Below are 17570 nucleotides of genomic sequence, written 5' to 3' on the forward strand. Positions count from 1 at the left end.
TGCCAATTTAGTGGGCTTTAGGCATGAACTGTAGTTATGATTTATCTCCAGTCTTTTTGTTCATTTTTACCAGTTCACAGGGATTCTTCACATATTCCGGATACCAGTTCTTGTTGGTTTAATGTTTGCAGATATCTTCTCCCATCAAGACCAATGTGGTTTGTCTTTTCCCATTTTTGGTGGTACTTTTTGATAAATAAAAAACTAACTTTATTGTGACTATCTTTTTTCTTTATGATTTCTACTTTTTTCAATAGAATTTATTTTTTAGAGCAATTTTAGGTTCACAGAAAAATTGAACAGAAGGTACGTGGAGTTTCCTTAGATCCCCCTGCCCACACACATGCACAGTTTTTTCTGTTACCTACATCTGTCACCACAGTGGTACATTTGTTACAACCAGTGAACCCACATTGACACAAAATAATCACCTAAAGTCCATAGTTTATGTTAGGGTTCATTCTTGTTGTACATTCTATGGGTTTAGACAAATGTATAATGACATCCAGTGTTACAGTATGATACAGAACAGTCTCACTGCCCCAAAAATCCTCTAGGCTGACTATTCATCTCTCCCTACCCTCTAACCTCTAGCAACCACTGATGTTTTCACTGTCTCCATAGTTTTGCTTTTTCCAGAATGTCATATAGTTGGAATCGTACAGTATGTAGCCTTTTCAGATTGCCTTCTTATCTTAGTAGTATGCATTTAAGTTTCTTCCATGCCTTTTTATGGCTTGAGAGCTCATTTCTTTTTAGTAATGAATAATATTTCATTGTCTGGATGTAACCACAGTTTACCCATTCACCTACTGAAGGGTATCTTGGTTGCTTCCAAATGTTGGCAATTATTAATAAAACTGCAATAAACATCTACGTGCAGGTTTTTGTGTGGACATGTTTTCAACCTTTGAACAAATAACAAGGAACACAGTTGCTGGATCATATGATAAGAGTATGTTTAGCTTATTAGCTTTGTAGGAGCGTGCCAAACTGTCTTCCAATGTGGCTGTACCATTTTGCATTCCCACCAGCAGTGAATGAGAGTTCCTGTTGCTCCACATCCTTGCAACCATTTGGTGTTGTCAGTGTTTCAATTCTGGCCATTCTGTAGGTGCATAGTAGTATCTCGTTGTTTTACTTTACATTTACCTAATGACATATGATGTGGAGCATCTCTTCATGTGCTTATTTTCCATCTGTATATCTTCTTTTTTTTTTTTTGAGACAAGGTCTCACACTGTTGCCCAGGAGGCTAGAGGCTGGAATGCAGTGGCGCTATCATGGCTCACTGCAGCCTCGACCTCCTGGGCTCAGGTGATCCTCCTGCCTCACCTCCTGAGTAGCTGAGACCACAGGCATGCACCACCTGCCCTGGCTAGTTTTTTTTTGTTTTTTTTAATAGAAACAGAGGTCCCCCTATTTACCCAGGCTGATCTCAAACTCCTAGGCTCAAGCAATGTGTATCTTCTTCTCAAGTGATGTGTATTTTCTTTAATGAGGAATTGGTTTCTACTTTTTATTGATTTATGACCTCATAATAGGGAAGGATTTCTTTAAAAATACTGTTGTATATTCTCAATATCTCCCATGTAATTTCACTTTTCTCAGGTCTTTAACCTAAGTGGAAGAGATTTTTGTGTATGATGTAGGTAAGGATTGCATTTCACTTACTTCCAGCACTACATCCATACTTTACCTACTGATCTGCAAAACCATTCTTATATCCATCAGATGTCCCTGTGTGCATGAGTCTGATTCTATGCTCTCTTCTGTTCCGTTAGGCTACCACTCTATCACTGCACCATTAGCATTGCATGGTATCAGTTACTGTAATTTTATGCTAGTGAATATCTGGGACACATTTTCCACTCACCTTGTTCTTAAAGATCGTTATGGCTATCATAGGCTTTGTACTTTCATATAAATTTTAGAATACGCTTATTAGGTTTCATAAAAATGTATGAATTTGATTAGAATATCATTGAATCTGTAAGATCACTTTGGGGAGTCTTTATGATATGAAGTCTCCCAATCTATTCTATTTGGCTTTATTGTTTTTCAATTACATTTTATAATTTTTCACACTGTGGACTTACACATGCTGTTTTTCAGATTCTTCATAGTTACTCTGCATTTTTGATACCATTGTACCTTATCTTTTATTGTGTTACTGGTGTTTAGAAATCATTGATTTTGCATGTTAATTTTTGTGTTCAGAAACTTTGCCAAAAACTGTTAATTCTAGTAATTAGAATTCTTTTGCATTTTTCTTGTTTTACATCATATCATACATATGAATAGTGAGTTTTGTTTCCTTTCCATTTTTAGGTCTTTAGTTCTTTTTCTTGTCCTCCTATGCTTGGTAGGATTTGTTGTGCAATGCTGATGGAAGTGGTAATAGTGGGCTCCCTGCCCTGTTTCTGATTTCAAGCAGTGCTTTCAGGGTTTCATCAGTAAGTGTGATGTTTGCTGGAGGTGTTTTCGTAGACAACCCTGTCAACTTAAGAAACTTCCCTTCTGTTATTACTTAGTGAGTTTTTATCCTACCTAAGAGCATTTATCAGATACTTTTACTACATCTGTTGAGATGTTCATATACTTTTTCCCCTCTTTTAAAGTATTAAATTGATGAATTAATAGATTTTCTCAAGTAGCTTTGCATTCTTGGGACAAATGCCAGTCAGTCATGATGTGTTATTTTTATTTTACATTGTTTGATTTGGTTTGCTTTCATATACATACATGTAAGTATTCACATTTACACATCTCATATGTATTCATGTCGGGGGTGTGGGTATGTATATACTTCAGGTGTTTTTAATCTATGTTCATGAATGAGATTGCCTATGACTTCCCGTTCTCTTCCTTGTTGGGCATTTTTGTTTATTTATTTGTTGTTTTAATTGACGGGATCTTGCTCTGTCTCCAAGGCTGGAGTGCAGTGGGGGCGATCATGGCTCACTGCAGCCTCAACCTCCTGGGCTTAAGTGATCCCCCTACCTCAGCCTCCCAAGTAGCTGGGACCACAGGCACACACCCCTGCACCTGACTCATTTTTGTTGTTGTTGTTTTTGTTTGTTTGTGTGTAGAGACGGGGTCTTGGTTTGTTGTCCAGGCTGGTCTCAAGCTCCTGGTTTCAAGTGATCTTCCCACCTTGGCCTCCCAAAGTGCAGAGATTACAGGTGTGAGCCACCATGCCTGGCCCTCATTAGGCTTTTCTGTTGAGGTTATACTAGCTTATAAACTTAAGTTACAAGTGTTCCTTCTTACTCTGTTTCTAGAAAAGTTTTGTAAAATTAGAATTAATTTCTTCCTTGAATATTGAACTGCCTGGAAGAACGGCCTGAAAGCCACTTGGGCATGAACTTTTCTATCTAGGAAGATTTTTGATCAGTTGTTCAATTTATTTAATAATTATAGAACTATTCAGACTTTCTATTGTTTGTAGAATAAGCTTTCATTGAGTTATTTTGGGTAAATCATAATTTTCTAGGAATTTATACTGATAAATTTGAAAATTCAGATGAAATCAATATCCTCCTATTATCTGTGTGATATGTATACGATTTATAGTGATATCCTTTTTTTCTCATTCCTGATATACTTATGCCTTCTATTTTTTCTTGATCAGCTTTGCCAGGAGCAGGCAGATTTTTTTCAATCCTTTTAAATAACCCTTACCAGCCATGTATGAGAGATCAGTTGCTTTACCTCCTCCCCGACACAGTATTTCCAGTGTTTTTAATTTAAACTCTTTAATTATAATTTCTAGTGGGTGTGTACAGTTCTTATTTTCATCTTAGTTTATAATCAGGGAATGATGTCAAGTACCTTATCATATGCTTATTGGCCATTTAGATATCTTCTTTTGTGAAATGCCTGTTGAAGTTTTTCTGCCTTTTTTAAAAAAAATTAGTTTGATTTTTTTTTTAGTTGATTTGTGGGGGTTACTTCTGTATTCTGAATTTGAGTCCTTTGTCAGATTTACATATTACACATACCTTCTCCTAGCAACAGCCTCTCTTTCACTATGTTAATGGTATCTGTCAGTAAACAAAAGTTCTTAATTTCAATAAAAACCAATTTTCTTTTATGGTTAGTGATTTTGGTGTCCAATTTAAGAACCTTTCCTACTCCAGAATTTTTTTTAATTCTTTTTTTGACACCTCATTGCATTGCCTTTCATATTTAGGTCTGTGATCCATCTGGAAATCGTTTTGTATATGGGTTACAGGAAGAGTCAAGATCCATCCTTTAGTTTTTCTTTTAGGGAAGGTCTGTGGATAGCAAACGCCATTTAGTTTGTCTGTAAATATCTTTATTATCTCTCATTTAATAAATAGTTTTAAAAAGTAGAGAATTCTAAATTGGCTATCATTCTTCTTTTTAGCACAATGAAGTTACTATTCCACTGTCTCTTGGCTTCAGTTATTTCTGCTGTGAATCATCAGCGTAACAGCCATCATCCATTGAAAGCAGTCCACTCTCTTCTTTTCTGTTCTGTGTCACTATGATACATCTGCATGTGGGTTTGTTTTTTTTCTGGTCCTGCTTGAGATTCTTCGGGTTCCTTGGATTGTTACTCTGAAAAATTCTCAGCTGTTTTATTTTCAAAAATGATTCCTGCCTCATTGTCTCTTTGCTTCTCTAACTCTGATAACATGTTAAAACCGTTGTGTCCTCCATGCCTCAACCTGTTTCTTGTTTTCCAATGCTTTATTCTGTGTTAGATTCTGTTAATTTCTTCAGAATTATGATCAGATTTGGAAAATAACCAAATAGAGCATCTAGAAATGAAAACTACAATAATTGAATTTTTTAAATCCAGCAGATGGGTTGAACAAAATTAGACACAGCTAAGGAGGTTTTTTTTTTTTTTTTTTGAGGAGGAGTCTCGCTCTGTCGCCCAGGCTGGAGTGCAGTGGCGCCATCTCTGCTCACTGCAAGCTCCGCCTCCCGAGTTCACGCCATTCTCCTGCCTCAGCCTCCCGAATAGCTGGGACTACAGGCACCCGCCACCACGTCCGGCTAATTTTTTGTATTTTTAGTAGAGACGGGGTTTCACCATGTTAGCCAGGATGGTCTTGATCTCCTGAACTCATGATCCGCCCGCCTCGGCCTCCCAAATCCTCCCAAAGGATTACAGGCGTGAGCCACCGCGCCAGGCCCTAAGGAGGTATTTTTTTAAAAACTGGAATATAAGTCAGAATGTTTGTTTCTACTGGATGTTTAGGGGCAGTACCAGTTCAGGGCCAGTTCAAAGAATTCTTAGCTTGAAGTTTGTTGGACCAGTGTTGATTTGTGCTGCAAAATTTTGTGAAGCTCACTGACTCATCATTATCAATTATGAAGGTAAAATTTCCCTGCCTCCATTCAGTGCTGAGATTCAAATCAGGGAGCTTTTCCTAGGTCCCTCGGTGGGGTTTGGGTGGAGCGCCTTATTTCAAGCTCACTGCTGCACCGAGGGGTGGCTCTTTGGGATGCCAGCTTTATGGGCTGGGGTCTCCTATTTGATTCTTCATCTTGAGGTGGGCCCTGGACTTTTTTCTCTACCCCTGTGGACTTGAAAACAGCAGCTCATGGTCCTTACCCTCAGGGCAAAGCAGGCTGCAGAGCTTCCCTGACTTCTCTGGCTCCCTGCCTTCACTTGGATTTTTAAATTTTGTACAACTTTATCTGTTGTTTTCAGTGGGCACGCACTTCATCTCTCACACTGCCAGAAATGCACAAGTGGCGCAGTTTACTTTCTTACACTCTTCCCTGCACTGTTGCTGAACCACTCAGCCCTGCTGAGCGCGCCTGAGCATCTGCACCTGAGCATCCTGGTGCTGTGGGTAGATACTTGTGGGGTGTTCAGCAGCCCCTCACCTTCCTCACAGTATCCTGACTTCCTTGTTGGGAATAAAGATTGAAATTGTGTTAACGTGGTCTAAACTGGCCTGCAGATGGATTGTAAGTTTTGCTTCTTGAAGTTTTGAATGCAAATTTGTGGGAATTCTTTCCCATTTATATTTTTATGCTGGTTGGATTGAACAGTGACTGTTAGGTGAACAGTGACATGTTAGGTGAATGCTAACATGCTTCGTATTGACCAGGACCCCAGGTGTTCCTTTGAGAAGGGGGCCTTTGCTTCACTTTTCCCAAAAGGTGCTGTGGCCTTTTGCAGAAGTGCTGCTTGGCGTCCGCAGCACCAGGGCCAGTCCATAGCAAGCACCGACTGTGCTGACAATGAACCAGGTGCCTGCTCTGTCTGCCTTTGCTTCTTAGAAGCCTTTGCTTCACTTTTCCCAAAAGGTGCTGTGGCCTTTTGCAGAAGTGCTGCTTGGCGTCCTCGGCACCAAGGCCAGTCTACAGCGAGCACTGACTGTGCTGACAATGAACCAGGTGCCTGCTCTGTCTGCTACCACGGCCCTGCAAGAGAGCCGTGATCAGATGAAAAACATGGAGGCTATAAGGTAAACAGCTTGTCCAAGCTTCTCCAGCTGGGGGCTGAAACCAGCTCTCACTCCAGTTTCCCCGGCTCCTTGCTCCCTCCCTGCTGCCTTGTGCCTCCCTGAGGAGCAGGGTCTATGTTCTCGTATGGGCGTGGTCGGTGTGTGTCACAAGCAGTGTGTGTCACAGAAGTCTCCATGGCTTACTACAGATCCTTAGCTTATCATTCTGCTACATCTGACACTCTGACATCCATTTGTTCCTGCAACGTTTGTGAAGGGTGACACTCAGCCATCACACAGGGATGTACTGGTCACAAGGCACACAGACTATCACCCACCGAGTGCTTCTCACACGTACTGTGTGGCCCAGGGATTGGACTAGGCCCCCACCGTATTGCCAATTCAGGAGGTGTGTGGAGAGGCCTAAGAATGGACATTCAAACAGGTTCCCAAGGACCCACACTTGAAAGCCACTGCCCTGGAGGAACTGCCCATGGCAGGGGATGGCCCTCCCAGCTCGAGGTTGTATCCAAGGCCAGAGCAAATTATGCACTCCCCCTTCTTCAGCTGAGGCAGATGAACACTTCCAAAAATAACTTCTTCACCAGGAAATTAGGGATGCCATTGGATTTAAAGACCTAAAAAATGTCATTCACTAAAAGCTCAAGCATCATCTCCATGTCCCCATTTGCTCCACAGACACCCGAGCACCTGTCCTGCACTGCCCACTGCATGGGGTGGCAAGGCCCCGAGGCCCAGCTTCTGTCCAACACGGGCCCCTGGCTGTCCAAATTCACATCCCAAATTCAGCCCCTGGGTCACACTAGCCACATCCCAGCAGACAGGACCCACATATGGTTGGCAGCTGCTGTACTGGACAGCACAGATACAGGACATTCCCTTACCCCAGAAAGGTTTCTGTTGGGTGGCGCTCACCTCGTGGGAATGATGACACTGAGCACATAGTGAAAGATGAGCTGAGTTATCCCTGGGGTGCAGTCCCCACCCTGTCCAGGCCTGAGAACCGTGGGAATGGGCAGGTTGGAGGAGCAGAGGGGAGTACCATGTCCTGTTCTGGAGCCTTAGTTTTTTTCCTTCAATTCCCGAGCTCTCATGTGCTCCCCCAGTGAACCCCTCTTCTCTGTTGCGCTTGAGTATAAAACTCATGACACCAGGAGTGGCCCCTCCAGACCTGCATTCTGCAGGCTGCCCTGCAGGATCGCGTCCAGGGGCTCTCCAACCTCCCCTGCCCCCAGAGAGGCCATCTGACTCCTCTGCAGTAACACAGTCCATACAGCCTGGCTTAACTAGGTATCCTGAACTTACTTACTTATGTGACCATGCAATACAGCAGCCAGTGACATCTTTTTGGAGCTCACAATGAGGAAAGCAGGACTGAACGTGCCTCCTATAGCTTCTTTCGAGTCTCACCTTATTCAGTGGAAAGCCCTTTGTCACACAAAGTGTTGCCAGCTGGAGACAAAAGTCTCTTGCCCAGTCCCTCCTGGGAAGGCCACAGCAGGCCTGGCAGCCTCACCCTCCTCCCTGCCCCAGGGGACCCATGTCTCCGGCCAGCAGCAAGGCCACCCCCTCACTGTACACACACAGCAGGCAAGGGAGGGGAGTGATGTATTCTTTTATTGAAGCAAGTATGTCCAGTCACACCAAAACTGACGTCCTGCATTATGGTACAGCTTCATACTCAGAGTTCATCTCAAATACCAAAACATCAAATCAGGGTATGTATCAAATTGGGAAAATAAAGTAGCAGACAGACACTGTTTCAAGTAGGTACTAGAACTGATCACCCGTGAAGTGCACGTGGGTGTGTACAGAAACCGTTCTAAGGCTGTATTCCAAATATATATTCTCAAGTTTTAAGCCTTTCTCATCTCAAAGACATAAACAAAGCAATATGTACTATCAATATACAATCTGTACTAGCTAGAACCTCAGAAAGTGCAAACACACTGTGACAATACAGTGGAACTATTCCTGCTCCACCCAGGACCAGAGGCATGGGCAGCGGGCCCAGGGCTGCCTCCTCCCCAGGCCCAGCCTTTCCCAATGTCTTCAGGCTCTTCCAGGAGCTTTGGGAATTGGGACCTGGCCCATCCTCACCCAGGCTTCCCCATTGATCAAGGCTCCTGCGGAAACTGGGAATGCAGAGGGACAAGGATGCGGAGTTCCTGCGAGGGAGACGGTCCACGTGGATTGACCGTGTGCTTTCTGAAGGACAGCTGTCCTGCGCCATGGTCAGTAGGGCCCAGGGCTCACACCACGAAGTCAGACATGGGAAAATGGAGTGTGCTCCTCTAGCTGGGTGTAGAAAACACCTCTCAGTATTGGGCAGTTTTATCTGAATGGGCTCCAGCAGTATGGCCTGGCGAATTTTCTGTTTCCAATTCCAATTAGGGCGCTGCCTACCCAGGTGGGAAGAGGGCTGTTGGCTGCCCTCCCCTCTGTAGATGATAGGTTTCAAGACTAGCTCTAAATGTCACCACCCTGGAGTCGGCCATGTATTTTTCTTCATCACAGCTCAGTGTGTCTTTCAGTCACAGCCCAGAAAACTGACAACTCCATGCTTCCCTCCCTTACCTTATTTTAGATTTCCTCCTTTCTAAAATGTAGTTGAAGAATGATTTGCTGGACACATTGTCACAGAAAATATGCTGCCAGGTGCCCCCTGCCCCTCCCTGACCCCACAAATCCCTGAAAGGAAAATGAAAATGTAAACTTTGGACAGCCCGTACTCAAAGGCTCACTTCCAGAAGTGTGCGGACGCGACCTCCCAGCCACCAGCCCTCCTATGGAGCCTCGCAGCCCAGGCTCCTGAGGGCAGGCGCCCAGGTGGAGTGGGACTCACCGCAGCCCAAACCACAGAGCAGGAAGACCAGACCCCAGTACCCTCTAAGGCACTAACCCCGACGTCAGAGACACTGGCTGGAAAGGCGTCCGAGCAGGCAGGGCTCACGTTGGTTTTGGCTGGGTTTTTTAAAATATTTTTTTCATAAGATGTTAATAATCAAAAGTAGAAAATAAAAATCTACATTTCATTAGAATAAGATGTTATCATGGATACCATCTCCCATGATACTCTCCCCTCCCCCTCCCCAAAGCAGGGCCCTGCCCTGTTATTTAAAATAAACAAAAAAAACTTTGTAAGTGCCAAAGGTTGATGCGTGAAATAATTACCATTTTTTTCTCATAAAAGTTATATACAAAATGGACCCCAACCAGTGAGGCCTCCTCATCTCAACCCACATCAGTCAAAATTTAAACCCAGTTAGTGCACGTGCTTCCTCTGGCGTCGCGGGCTGCATCCGCCTCAGGCTCTGTTCAGAAGGGTGGTCCTAGAGGGGGACAGGACAAGCAGTGCTCAGGCCCGAGCAGGGCGGCTTGGGTCCAAGCCATCCTCAGCCTCCCACCAAACATGCACCAGGGACCCTGGACCAGGGACGCGGCAGTGCCCAGGCTCCCTTTCCAGGAGGGTAACCCTCGTGCCCACCCTGAGTCCTCCCTCTTCCTTACAGACTCCCATGTTCCTGACGCCCTCCTACCTGAGGGTCTTCCAGCTGTCTTTTTCCATGTGGTTCTCGGGACCCTCACTTTCAAAGGAGGCGACGAAGAGAGCTGAGAGATGGGAAAGTCCCTCAGAGCCTGTGTCCCCATGCAGTGTCTGCCTGAACCCAGCTGTCCCTTCAGGAGTACAGCCCAGCACAAGGGGACAGTGACCTCTGGCTGGGCTGAACACAGTTCTCTGCTGTGCGGGGCTCTCAGGCTGCCTGTTGGGGACTCTAGGAAGGTTCCTCGTGTTGCAGCACCTGACCTAAGCCCATGTGACCCTCTCCAGTGGCTGCTGGAAACTGAGTCTCTTGTCCTTCTCTTCCATCCATCCCATGACCCACCCTCATGCACACTCGCCCCTGCGAGCAGAGCCAGCCCTGTGTGGCATGGAGCAGCCAGCAGGCCATCTCCCAGGGCAACCCCAAAGAGCACCGGGCCTGGACAAGGAGTCAGGTGGGGTGGGAGGCATGCTGCGTTGGGAGGCAGCCCTCACCTTCCTCGCTGTAGATGGGCGCCGTGAGCAGGTAACTCTGAATCTTCTTGTCCTTCTCGAAAGGACACTCTACCTGTGTCCATGTCATGAACTCATGGATCTGTCTGGAGATCTCCCAGAATTTCTGAAGGGAGCAAAACCAACTGATGTTCATCTGTCACCTTAAGCACCAAACCCTCGGTCAGGGCAGGGGACGTAGGTTTTGGCCTCAGCCTCCTGCTCACTTCACTGGTCCCAGCAAGATGGGACAGTGGCCCTGCACGCTGACCCCGTGGCCATGGTGGCACGCCATGCAGCCTCAGAGCCAGCAGGTGTCCCCCAAGGCCACTCTGTCTGGCCCTCCACCTGGGCCATCAGGCCGGCAGCAGGGTCTCTGCCTGTCTGTGCAGGGACCCAAAGAAGGCCCCACTGATAACTCCAGCCTGAGGCAGGCACCCCATCCAAACCCAGCCCAGCGGCGCCAACCAGAACGTGTCATGATGTCCCTTCTCTGGGACCTTCGGAAGGATCCCAGCTCCTGCCCACACCTCACCTGTGTGAGGTAGGCATCCGGCAGCCCACAGCCACCTACACCTGCCCTGCCACCTATGTCCCACCCTCCCATCCTCACCAGGTGCCCTCAGGCCCACGAGGCAGGCTCTTCACTTCCATCTAGAATTCTCTGCCGCCTCCTCCCTGCTCAAGTCCCTTCCTATCTAAACCCCTCCTGACCTCCAATCCCACAGGGGTGGACAGGGCTCTCTCCCTGGTAGGGCCAGGCTGGAACCACGGTCCTGGATAAATACAATTCCCTGTGACTCCAAGCTCTGCAACTAGGCCATCCACCCAGAAGTACCGGCAGGCGCACCTCATACCTTGCAGTCAAACAGCACCCCGTGACCCACTATGAGGCTTTCAGTCTTGAAGGCCCTTGTGAACCTCAGGCAGGGCTCAGGAAACCCACAGATCCCGACCCAGGGCTAATGCCTGGCGGCTCCAGTAGCTCAGACAGTTTCCGCCTGGCCTGCCCTGTGCTGGGATGAGCTCACCTTAAAGTTAATGTGCCCGTTGGGCAGGTGGTTGGTATGGATTTTGTGCAGGAAGTAGATGTCCTTAACGAAGAGGTTGAACACAGGGATGACGATCTTTTCACGGCTGCTGTTGGCCATCTGGGACCTCTGCGTGGCCCCCTGCAGGGCTGTACGGTAGTTGCAGAAGTTGCTGGACGGGTCCATGTGATGCTGTGGGCACAGGGAGGACCTGGTGAGCATCACAGCCCCATGCCCCTCCGACCTGCTCCAGATGCCCCTCTGCAGAGCAGGAGGCAGCAGACAGAGAAGGCACCTGGCCCCTGGGCAGCCTGGGAGTTAGCACGGGGGAGGGGACGCCCAAGGGTGCCTGGCTGAGCCCTGGGGCCAGGGCTTCTGAGTTCAGGTCCTGGCATCCTCTGGAAAGCCACAGAAGTGTCACTGCCCTGCCTGCCAGGCCTGACCCTCGCCCTCCTTCCTTCAAGACTTCCCTTTGCTCCTCTACTTAGATCAACACCTCCCAGACCTGACCAGCTCCACAAGACACATGCTTTGCAAAAATGGACTCTGTGGTCAAACACATCTGAGGAAGGCTGCAGGTGACCCTGTCTGCCAGCCTCTGGGCCATCTAGACCAGCCAGGACCTGGAGACACTGACCAAGGAAAAGGCAGTGTCTTCCAACACAACCCCACTCTTGTCAAACTCTTGCTTAACCGCATTCCACTCTGGAACTCGCCTTAGGTGATGCCGGGTCTGCCTGAAGTAACCGAGGACAACTTAAGTCCCCACTGCTGGAGGACGAACATGCCAGGCCAGCTCAGCCAGCACTGTAGGTGCTAGCCCCAGGGAGAGGAGGGCAGCCCCCCACCCCCACTGTCAGGGCCCCCTTCGGGCCATTGCGGGACGAAATGGGTGCAGCTCGCAGCTGTGACGGGGCTCAGGTGCCTACCTCCAAGACATCAAACTTGGCTGTCTTGACCTTGGACCAAGTTTTCTTCAGCCTTGCCACAGGACTGAGGTTCATGCCAGCTGCAGAGGACAGCAGGTAGGGTCAGGGCCGGGGGGGTGGGCCATGCAGCAGCCCCACCCTGGGTGCCCAGTCACTCACAGATGATGGCCATCATGGAGTTGAAGTTCCCGATGTTGAAGCACTCCCGGGCCACATCAATGAAGAACTCCAACATGCGGGTCCGGTGTTTCTTCTTCACCACCTGGAAGGTGGCAGGTGACCTCAGCATGGCGCTGCCGGGGGACAGCAGGAGCTGGGGCCGCCGGGCAGAGGAACAGAGGGGCAGGGAGGACCTCGGGACTTAGCTTCTGGCCACAGCGGGCTGATCCAGGTCCATGGCTGCGTCTGGGAGGTCCAGACATGTGCACGGCCTATGCTCAGGCTCCTCAGTCATCAAAGGGAAGGCACCATCTGCCCCAGAGGGCTGTGAGGGCTGGCAAAGCCTCACACAGGCAAGAAAAATGGTGCTGGGCACAAGGGGAGCACTCCACGGATGGGGTGTCTGTTGTCATTGAAGGAATCGCTGTATGTCGGGGTTGGGGGACCACCAAGGCCCTGACAATGCAACAGGGACTTTGTGCATTCACTCTTAAAGTTCCATCATCTAATTCCTGGGGCAAGATCAGGGTCTCACTGGGTGTGGGCATGGCAGCCACCCCACCATGTCTGCCATGGGCACTTACCCGGCACACCTCAGTGGCCACCAGCATGCTCAGGCAGTTGAACCAGTTGTCATAGGCCTCCAGGCTGTAGGTCTTGGTCAGGTCCCCTCGGCACTGGAAAGGACACAGCAGGTCATAGGGGGCCTGGAGGACCATGGCTGGACAACTTAGTCCCCACAGCTGGCCCTGGTCCCCAGCTATGGCTCAGCCTGCACCGCAGCAGCCTCAATCATGCCTGCGTGCTCCTTGCTGCCCAGTGCAGGGCTGGCAGGCCAGGCTGGCTCCCTGGCCCAAATCTGTGACCTCTCCCAGCATTCATCATCCATGACCAGCACAGCCATCTTGGAGCAGGTGCTGCCTCTTGAAGCAGGTGCTAGGAGGTCCAGTGCCACATCCATCGGGGCTCATGGCCCAGCACTCCGGAGACGCTCGGGGCGTGCTGAGTGAGGCCCACACCCACCCTGCATGGAGCGCAAGTGCTGGGCAGACAGGGCTGGCAGGGGTGCCACAGGCCTTGGCCCACTTACCCTGTGGTTGTCCAAGGAGTCCATGTGGCTGACGATCTGCATCAAGTCCTCAGGGTAAATGCTGCTGACCCTGTCCTGGGGTGGAAGATAGCAAAGGGAAGGTGACAAGCTTCCCCTGGAGAAGGGACAGCACTGCATAGGCATGCGGACAGGGAGAGGAGGAGCTGCCCAGGGCACAGGACCTTCACCTCCTCCCAGGCCAGTCCTCCATCCTAGGGCCACTGCAGTCCCCACTGCAGGACGACACTGCTCCAGCTCCTCCCACTGACACAGCACTGCTGTGTTCCTGAGGACGTGAGTGCCAGGCACAGAGGTGCCCGCCACTCAGACGGACACACATCTGGCATGAAGTGTGGCAGTCAGGGCTGGCAAGCGCACTTCCCTGATGGCTCAGTGTGACTAGCAGGGGCCTGAAGTGCTGTGCTGAAAGAGGCACTGTGGTCCCACAGCCCCCACCCCCAGTCAGGGCATAAGGCAGCACTGACCAGCTCAATGTGAGTCAGCTGCTGGGCCAGCACCAGGGGGTCGCAGCACACGCCCAGGATGTCCTTCTGGGCGGCTGGTGGCTTGGTCTTGAGGATGGGCCCCTTGTCTACAGCCGGTGGCCGGAGCTTCTCTCGCAGTTCCTGGAGCTGGCTCCGGGCAGCCAAGGACAGCAACAGGCTCTGTGTCATCTGGGCAATGGCCTTCTTCACTGTGCCATTCTCCTGTGGGGTCAAGGGCAATAAGGGTGCCAGCATGGGCTGGCAGCAAGGCCACCACCACTGTGGGTAGGATCCATCTCACCTCCAGGGATGTGCCTAACCAACGTGAGCCCACAGCCCCTATCTAAACCGCAGCCTTCAGGCCTTCAAGGACAAAGTGGGGCACAGCATGGGCTCCTCTGAGGACTGCTGAGGAGGGGTCTCAGTGGGCTGTCCTGCTGCAGGACGAGGCTAAGGGCAGAGACAGGCTCAAGACTGAGCTTCTGGGTCTGAAAAGCATGGCTTTTTCAGAGGCGGCCCACTGAGCTGCTTCCTGAAGCAGGAGCAGCCCATAGAACAGTTTAAGGCATGGGAAAGGCTTCTGCCAAAGCCAGGAGTCTCTGCCCCCTAGTTGGGAGCAGCCTGGGGTCCCTGGCTCCTCCTGGAGTACTCGGGGTGAACAGGAGCTGCTAAGCACAGGGAATGCTTCCACTGTGGAGGCCCAGTTGGCCCAGGCATCTCCAGTTCTCTCTCCACCAAAGGCAAAGGTGAAGACATTTGAAAAATGGGAGACCGGTTTAAAGCCTTACCCCCACCTCCTCTCACTAATCCAAGACAGGCAGAGCCTTACAAACTCTCAATAGGCTCCCACTCCAGGGACAAGGACAGCAAGGGCCAGGAGAGGGTTGAGACAATGATTGCCAGGCCCGCAACCGGGCTGCAAGGTCCCTGCTTGCAGTATCATGGGTGACCCTGGCCCACTGCTGGCCAGCTGAGCTGTCATCTGGGGGAAGGGAGGTTGAATGGGGCCAGCCAGCAACCCTCCTGGGGGAGTAACATGGAAGGGGACCACATACAGAGTTGTCCCCGAAGCCCCCACCCTCCCGAGGGCAGACCCTGGCACACACCCAAAGACCCTGGCCAGAGCCCAGGGAGCACTCACCTCATCACACTGGGTGACACGGTGTGTGATGGCTTTCAGCTCGGCCATGGCCTTCTCATCCTGGAAGTCATAGGGGAAGGCCTCGGTCCACTCCTTCAGGAGCTGCACGATCTTGGCTGAGAAAGACTTCAGCTTGGCCTGGGGCAGCAGGGGATACAGAGTAAGGCCCCACAGGGCAGAGTAGGGTACTAGATGGCAAATGGTGCAAGCTTCCCACATCCCCAAGCCACACCCCAGGCCCTGTGCTGGGCACAGCCCCCAACTGCGTGCCACCTGCGGTTTGGCCAAACCTGAACCGCCACATGACTCCTGTTTGGTTCCTTCTTCCTTCCCCTTAAGTTGACTTTCTTTTTCACTTAAATAAACTTATATTAAAAAAACCCACCCCATCTCTAAGGTGACAAAAAACTAATTCCATTTGCTATAATTAGAAGTTACCCATAAAAGCAATACAGTAAAATAACCCAAGCCAAGCCATCCAGTTAGAGGAGAGCTCCCGTCTGCCCCCTGTGGTTGAAAGGGCGACAGCGCTGAAAGGGGTGTGACCCCGAGGGGAGGCGACGCGCTCCCGCGCCCTAGTCCACAGGCATGCACGACCCCACCCAGCACAGGGCCTAGGGCATGGGGACTGGCCCTCTTGGCTGAAACGACTCCGACCCTCTCGGAAGATGCCCGCGCGGCCTCTGCCCCCGGGGAGAGGGGACTGTGCCCGATGCTCAGGCGCCGCGCCCCCATCCTCCAATCCCCCAGAACGCACCACAGGCCAAGCCCCTCCTGCGCCAGCCAAGACTCCGCGCCAGCCCACACCAGCCCCACTCAGACCGCTGGACCCCGCCCCCGGCCCCCGCACCACCCAGCCCGCAACTCTGCAGCTTTCTTCGCCCACGCCGCACAGCCTCCAAACCAGCGGATTCCGCCCACGTTGCCAGCCTAGGCCCCCCACCACCCGCTCCCACCACGCCCCTAACCCGGACCCAACCCACAGCTCCAGCCCAGACCTCACCCCAGCCTGGTGTGGCGTCACGCCCCAACTCAGACCCGCCCCACAGCCCCAGCCAGGCCACGCCCCAACCCTAGCCCTGACCCCGCCCCCAGGCCCCACCAGCCCAGCCAGGCCATGCCTAACCCTAGCACTGACCCTGCCCCGAGACCCCACAGCCCCAGCCAGGCCACGCCCCAACCCTAGCCATGACCCCGCCCCCTGGTCCCACCCTGGACCCCACCCTGCAGCCCCAGCTAGGCCACGCCCAACCCTAGCCTTGACCCCGACCCTGCCCCAGCCAGGCCACGCCTCAACCCTAGCCCTGACCCCACCCCCTGGCCCCACCCTGGACCCCATCCCACAGTCCCAGCCAGGCCAAGCCCCAACTCTAGCCCTGACCCCATCCCCCAGCTCTACCGTGAACCCCGCCCCATGCCTCCAGCCCCTAGCCTTGACCTCGCCTCCTGCCCCCTGCCCCCGCCCGTGCCCCAGCCAGGCCCCGCCTCACCTTTTCAGGCCCGGCTTCCAGCTGCTGCTTCTGCTCCACGCAGATCTGCCCCACGCGGGCCAGCAGGTCATGAGGGGGCATAAAGACCCGGGAGCTCAGGAGAAAGGTGAAGATGTACGTCCTCTGAAGGCAGGAGACGGAGAGAGGGCGGAGGGAGGGTGAGGCAGGCCCCCGGGGGCTCACCGCGCTGCTTCACCTGGCCCGGCTGCCTCCCAGGCCCAGCACCGCCGGTCCCGAGGCCATGCCTTCACCTGCCCGGTTCCCTTCGCCTTGCAGGCCCTTCCTCCTCTTACTGCTACCCCGGCCCTGCCTACCTAGGAGGCACGGCTCGAGCCCCGCCTCCCAGCAGCTCTCCCAGGCCTCCTAGCAGTCTTCCTCCGCTGGGATTCTCCCCCTCTCTGCCCCACGCCACCATAGGGCTAACCCCAGCCTGGGACGTTGGTAGGGCTCCATGGTGCTCGCTGCGCCAGGATGCAAGCCAGCTGCTGTTTCAGATCCTCGTGGGCCGAGCTGGAGGTCAGCGGTGGGGAGGGTGGGGGATGCAGGGAGGTTGGCACAGGAGCGGGGCCTGTCGGGAGCAGGGCTGATCCATGGGGCGGGGCCTCATCAGCAGGGGCGGGGCCCCATCAGCAGGGGCGGGGCCCCATCAGCAGGGGCGGGGCCTCAGGGGCAATGCTGGTGGGGGCCCCTGCACTCTCTGACCAGCTCTGGGCCTAGACCCTGACTGCCAGAGCAGGGCCCCTCCATACCA

The 17570-nt window shown here is 51.6% G+C and overlaps 1 protein-coding gene across 4 annotated transcripts in view, besides 7 other annotated features; it reads right to left on the reverse strand.

The window, feature by feature from the left end:
• Nucleotides 4737-4966: a silencer, noted in NCBI's record as "fragment chr10:43686663-43686892 (GRCh37/hg19 assembly coordinates)". NCBI's record gives its function as "represses an EF-1alpha promoter that drives an FKBP-Casp9 reporter gene in an ReSE screen in K562 erythroleukemia cells {active_cell/tissue: K562}" and the evidence as "EXISTENCE:reporter gene assay evidence [ECO:0000049][PMID:32094911]".
• The window catches only part of RASGEF1A (RasGEF domain family member 1A), a 72531-nt gene continuing 63017 nt past the window's right edge, over nt 8057-17570 (reverse strand). For 2 of the 4 annotated variants that reach the window (NM_145313.4, NM_001282862.2), the window contains exons 3-13: nt 16820-16942; nt 15330-15467; nt 14189-14410; nt 13704-13778; nt 13198-13290; nt 12614-12716; nt 12455-12534; nt 11526-11717; nt 10498-10621; nt 9998-10070; nt 8057-9790 (exon numbers count right to left, since the gene is read on the reverse strand). In NM_145313.4, coding sequence (NP_660356.2) covers nt 9766-9790; nt 9998-10070; nt 10498-10621; nt 11526-11717; nt 12455-12534; nt 12614-12716; nt 13198-13290; nt 13704-13778; nt 14189-14410; nt 15330-15467; nt 16820-16942 — 1248 coding nt within the window. In that variant the 3' untranslated portion in view covers nt 8057-9765. Of the gene's footprint in view, nt 9791-9997; nt 10071-10497; nt 10622-11525; nt 11718-12454; nt 12535-12613; nt 12717-13197; nt 13291-13703; nt 13779-14188; nt 14411-15329; nt 15468-16819; nt 16943-17133; nt 17205-17243; nt 17390-17570 lie in introns of those variants that run through there. The other 2 variants (XM_005271809.4, XM_011539500.3) reach the window with 2 other exon arrangements.
• Nucleotides 14969-15470: an enhancer, noted in NCBI's record as "H3K4me1 hESC enhancer chr10:43696895-43697396 (GRCh37/hg19 assembly coordinates)". NCBI's record gives its function as "activates a minimal SCP1, AML or CMV promoter by ChIP-STARR-seq in naive H9 embryonic stem cells {active_cell/tissue: H9 hESC(naive)}" and the evidence as "EXISTENCE:reporter gene assay evidence [ECO:0000049][PMID:30033119]".
• Nucleotides 15734-15923: a silencer, noted in NCBI's record as "silent region_2319". NCBI's record gives its function as "represses an Ori minimal core promoter by ATAC-STARR-seq in GM12878 lymphoblastoid cells {active_cell/tissue: GM12878}" and the evidence as "EXISTENCE:reporter gene assay evidence [ECO:0000049][PMID:35858748]".
• Nucleotides 16264-16313: a silencer, noted in NCBI's record as "silent region_2320". NCBI's record gives its function as "represses an Ori minimal core promoter by ATAC-STARR-seq in GM12878 lymphoblastoid cells {active_cell/tissue: GM12878}" and the evidence as "EXISTENCE:reporter gene assay evidence [ECO:0000049][PMID:35858748]".
• Nucleotides 16444-16683: a silencer, noted in NCBI's record as "silent region_2321". NCBI's record gives its function as "represses an Ori minimal core promoter by ATAC-STARR-seq in GM12878 lymphoblastoid cells {active_cell/tissue: GM12878}" and the evidence as "EXISTENCE:reporter gene assay evidence [ECO:0000049][PMID:35858748]".
• Nucleotides 16724-16783: a silencer, noted in NCBI's record as "silent region_2322". NCBI's record gives its function as "represses an Ori minimal core promoter by ATAC-STARR-seq in GM12878 lymphoblastoid cells {active_cell/tissue: GM12878}" and the evidence as "EXISTENCE:reporter gene assay evidence [ECO:0000049][PMID:35858748]".
• Nucleotides 17334-17503: a silencer, noted in NCBI's record as "silent region_2323". NCBI's record gives its function as "represses an Ori minimal core promoter by ATAC-STARR-seq in GM12878 lymphoblastoid cells {active_cell/tissue: GM12878}" and the evidence as "EXISTENCE:reporter gene assay evidence [ECO:0000049][PMID:35858748]".

Source organism: Homo sapiens, chromosome 10 (genome assembly GCF_000001405.40).
Source record: "Homo sapiens chromosome 10, GRCh38.p14 Primary Assembly".
NCBI classification, from domain to species: Eukaryota; Metazoa; Chordata; class Mammalia; order Primates; family Hominidae; genus Homo; species Homo sapiens.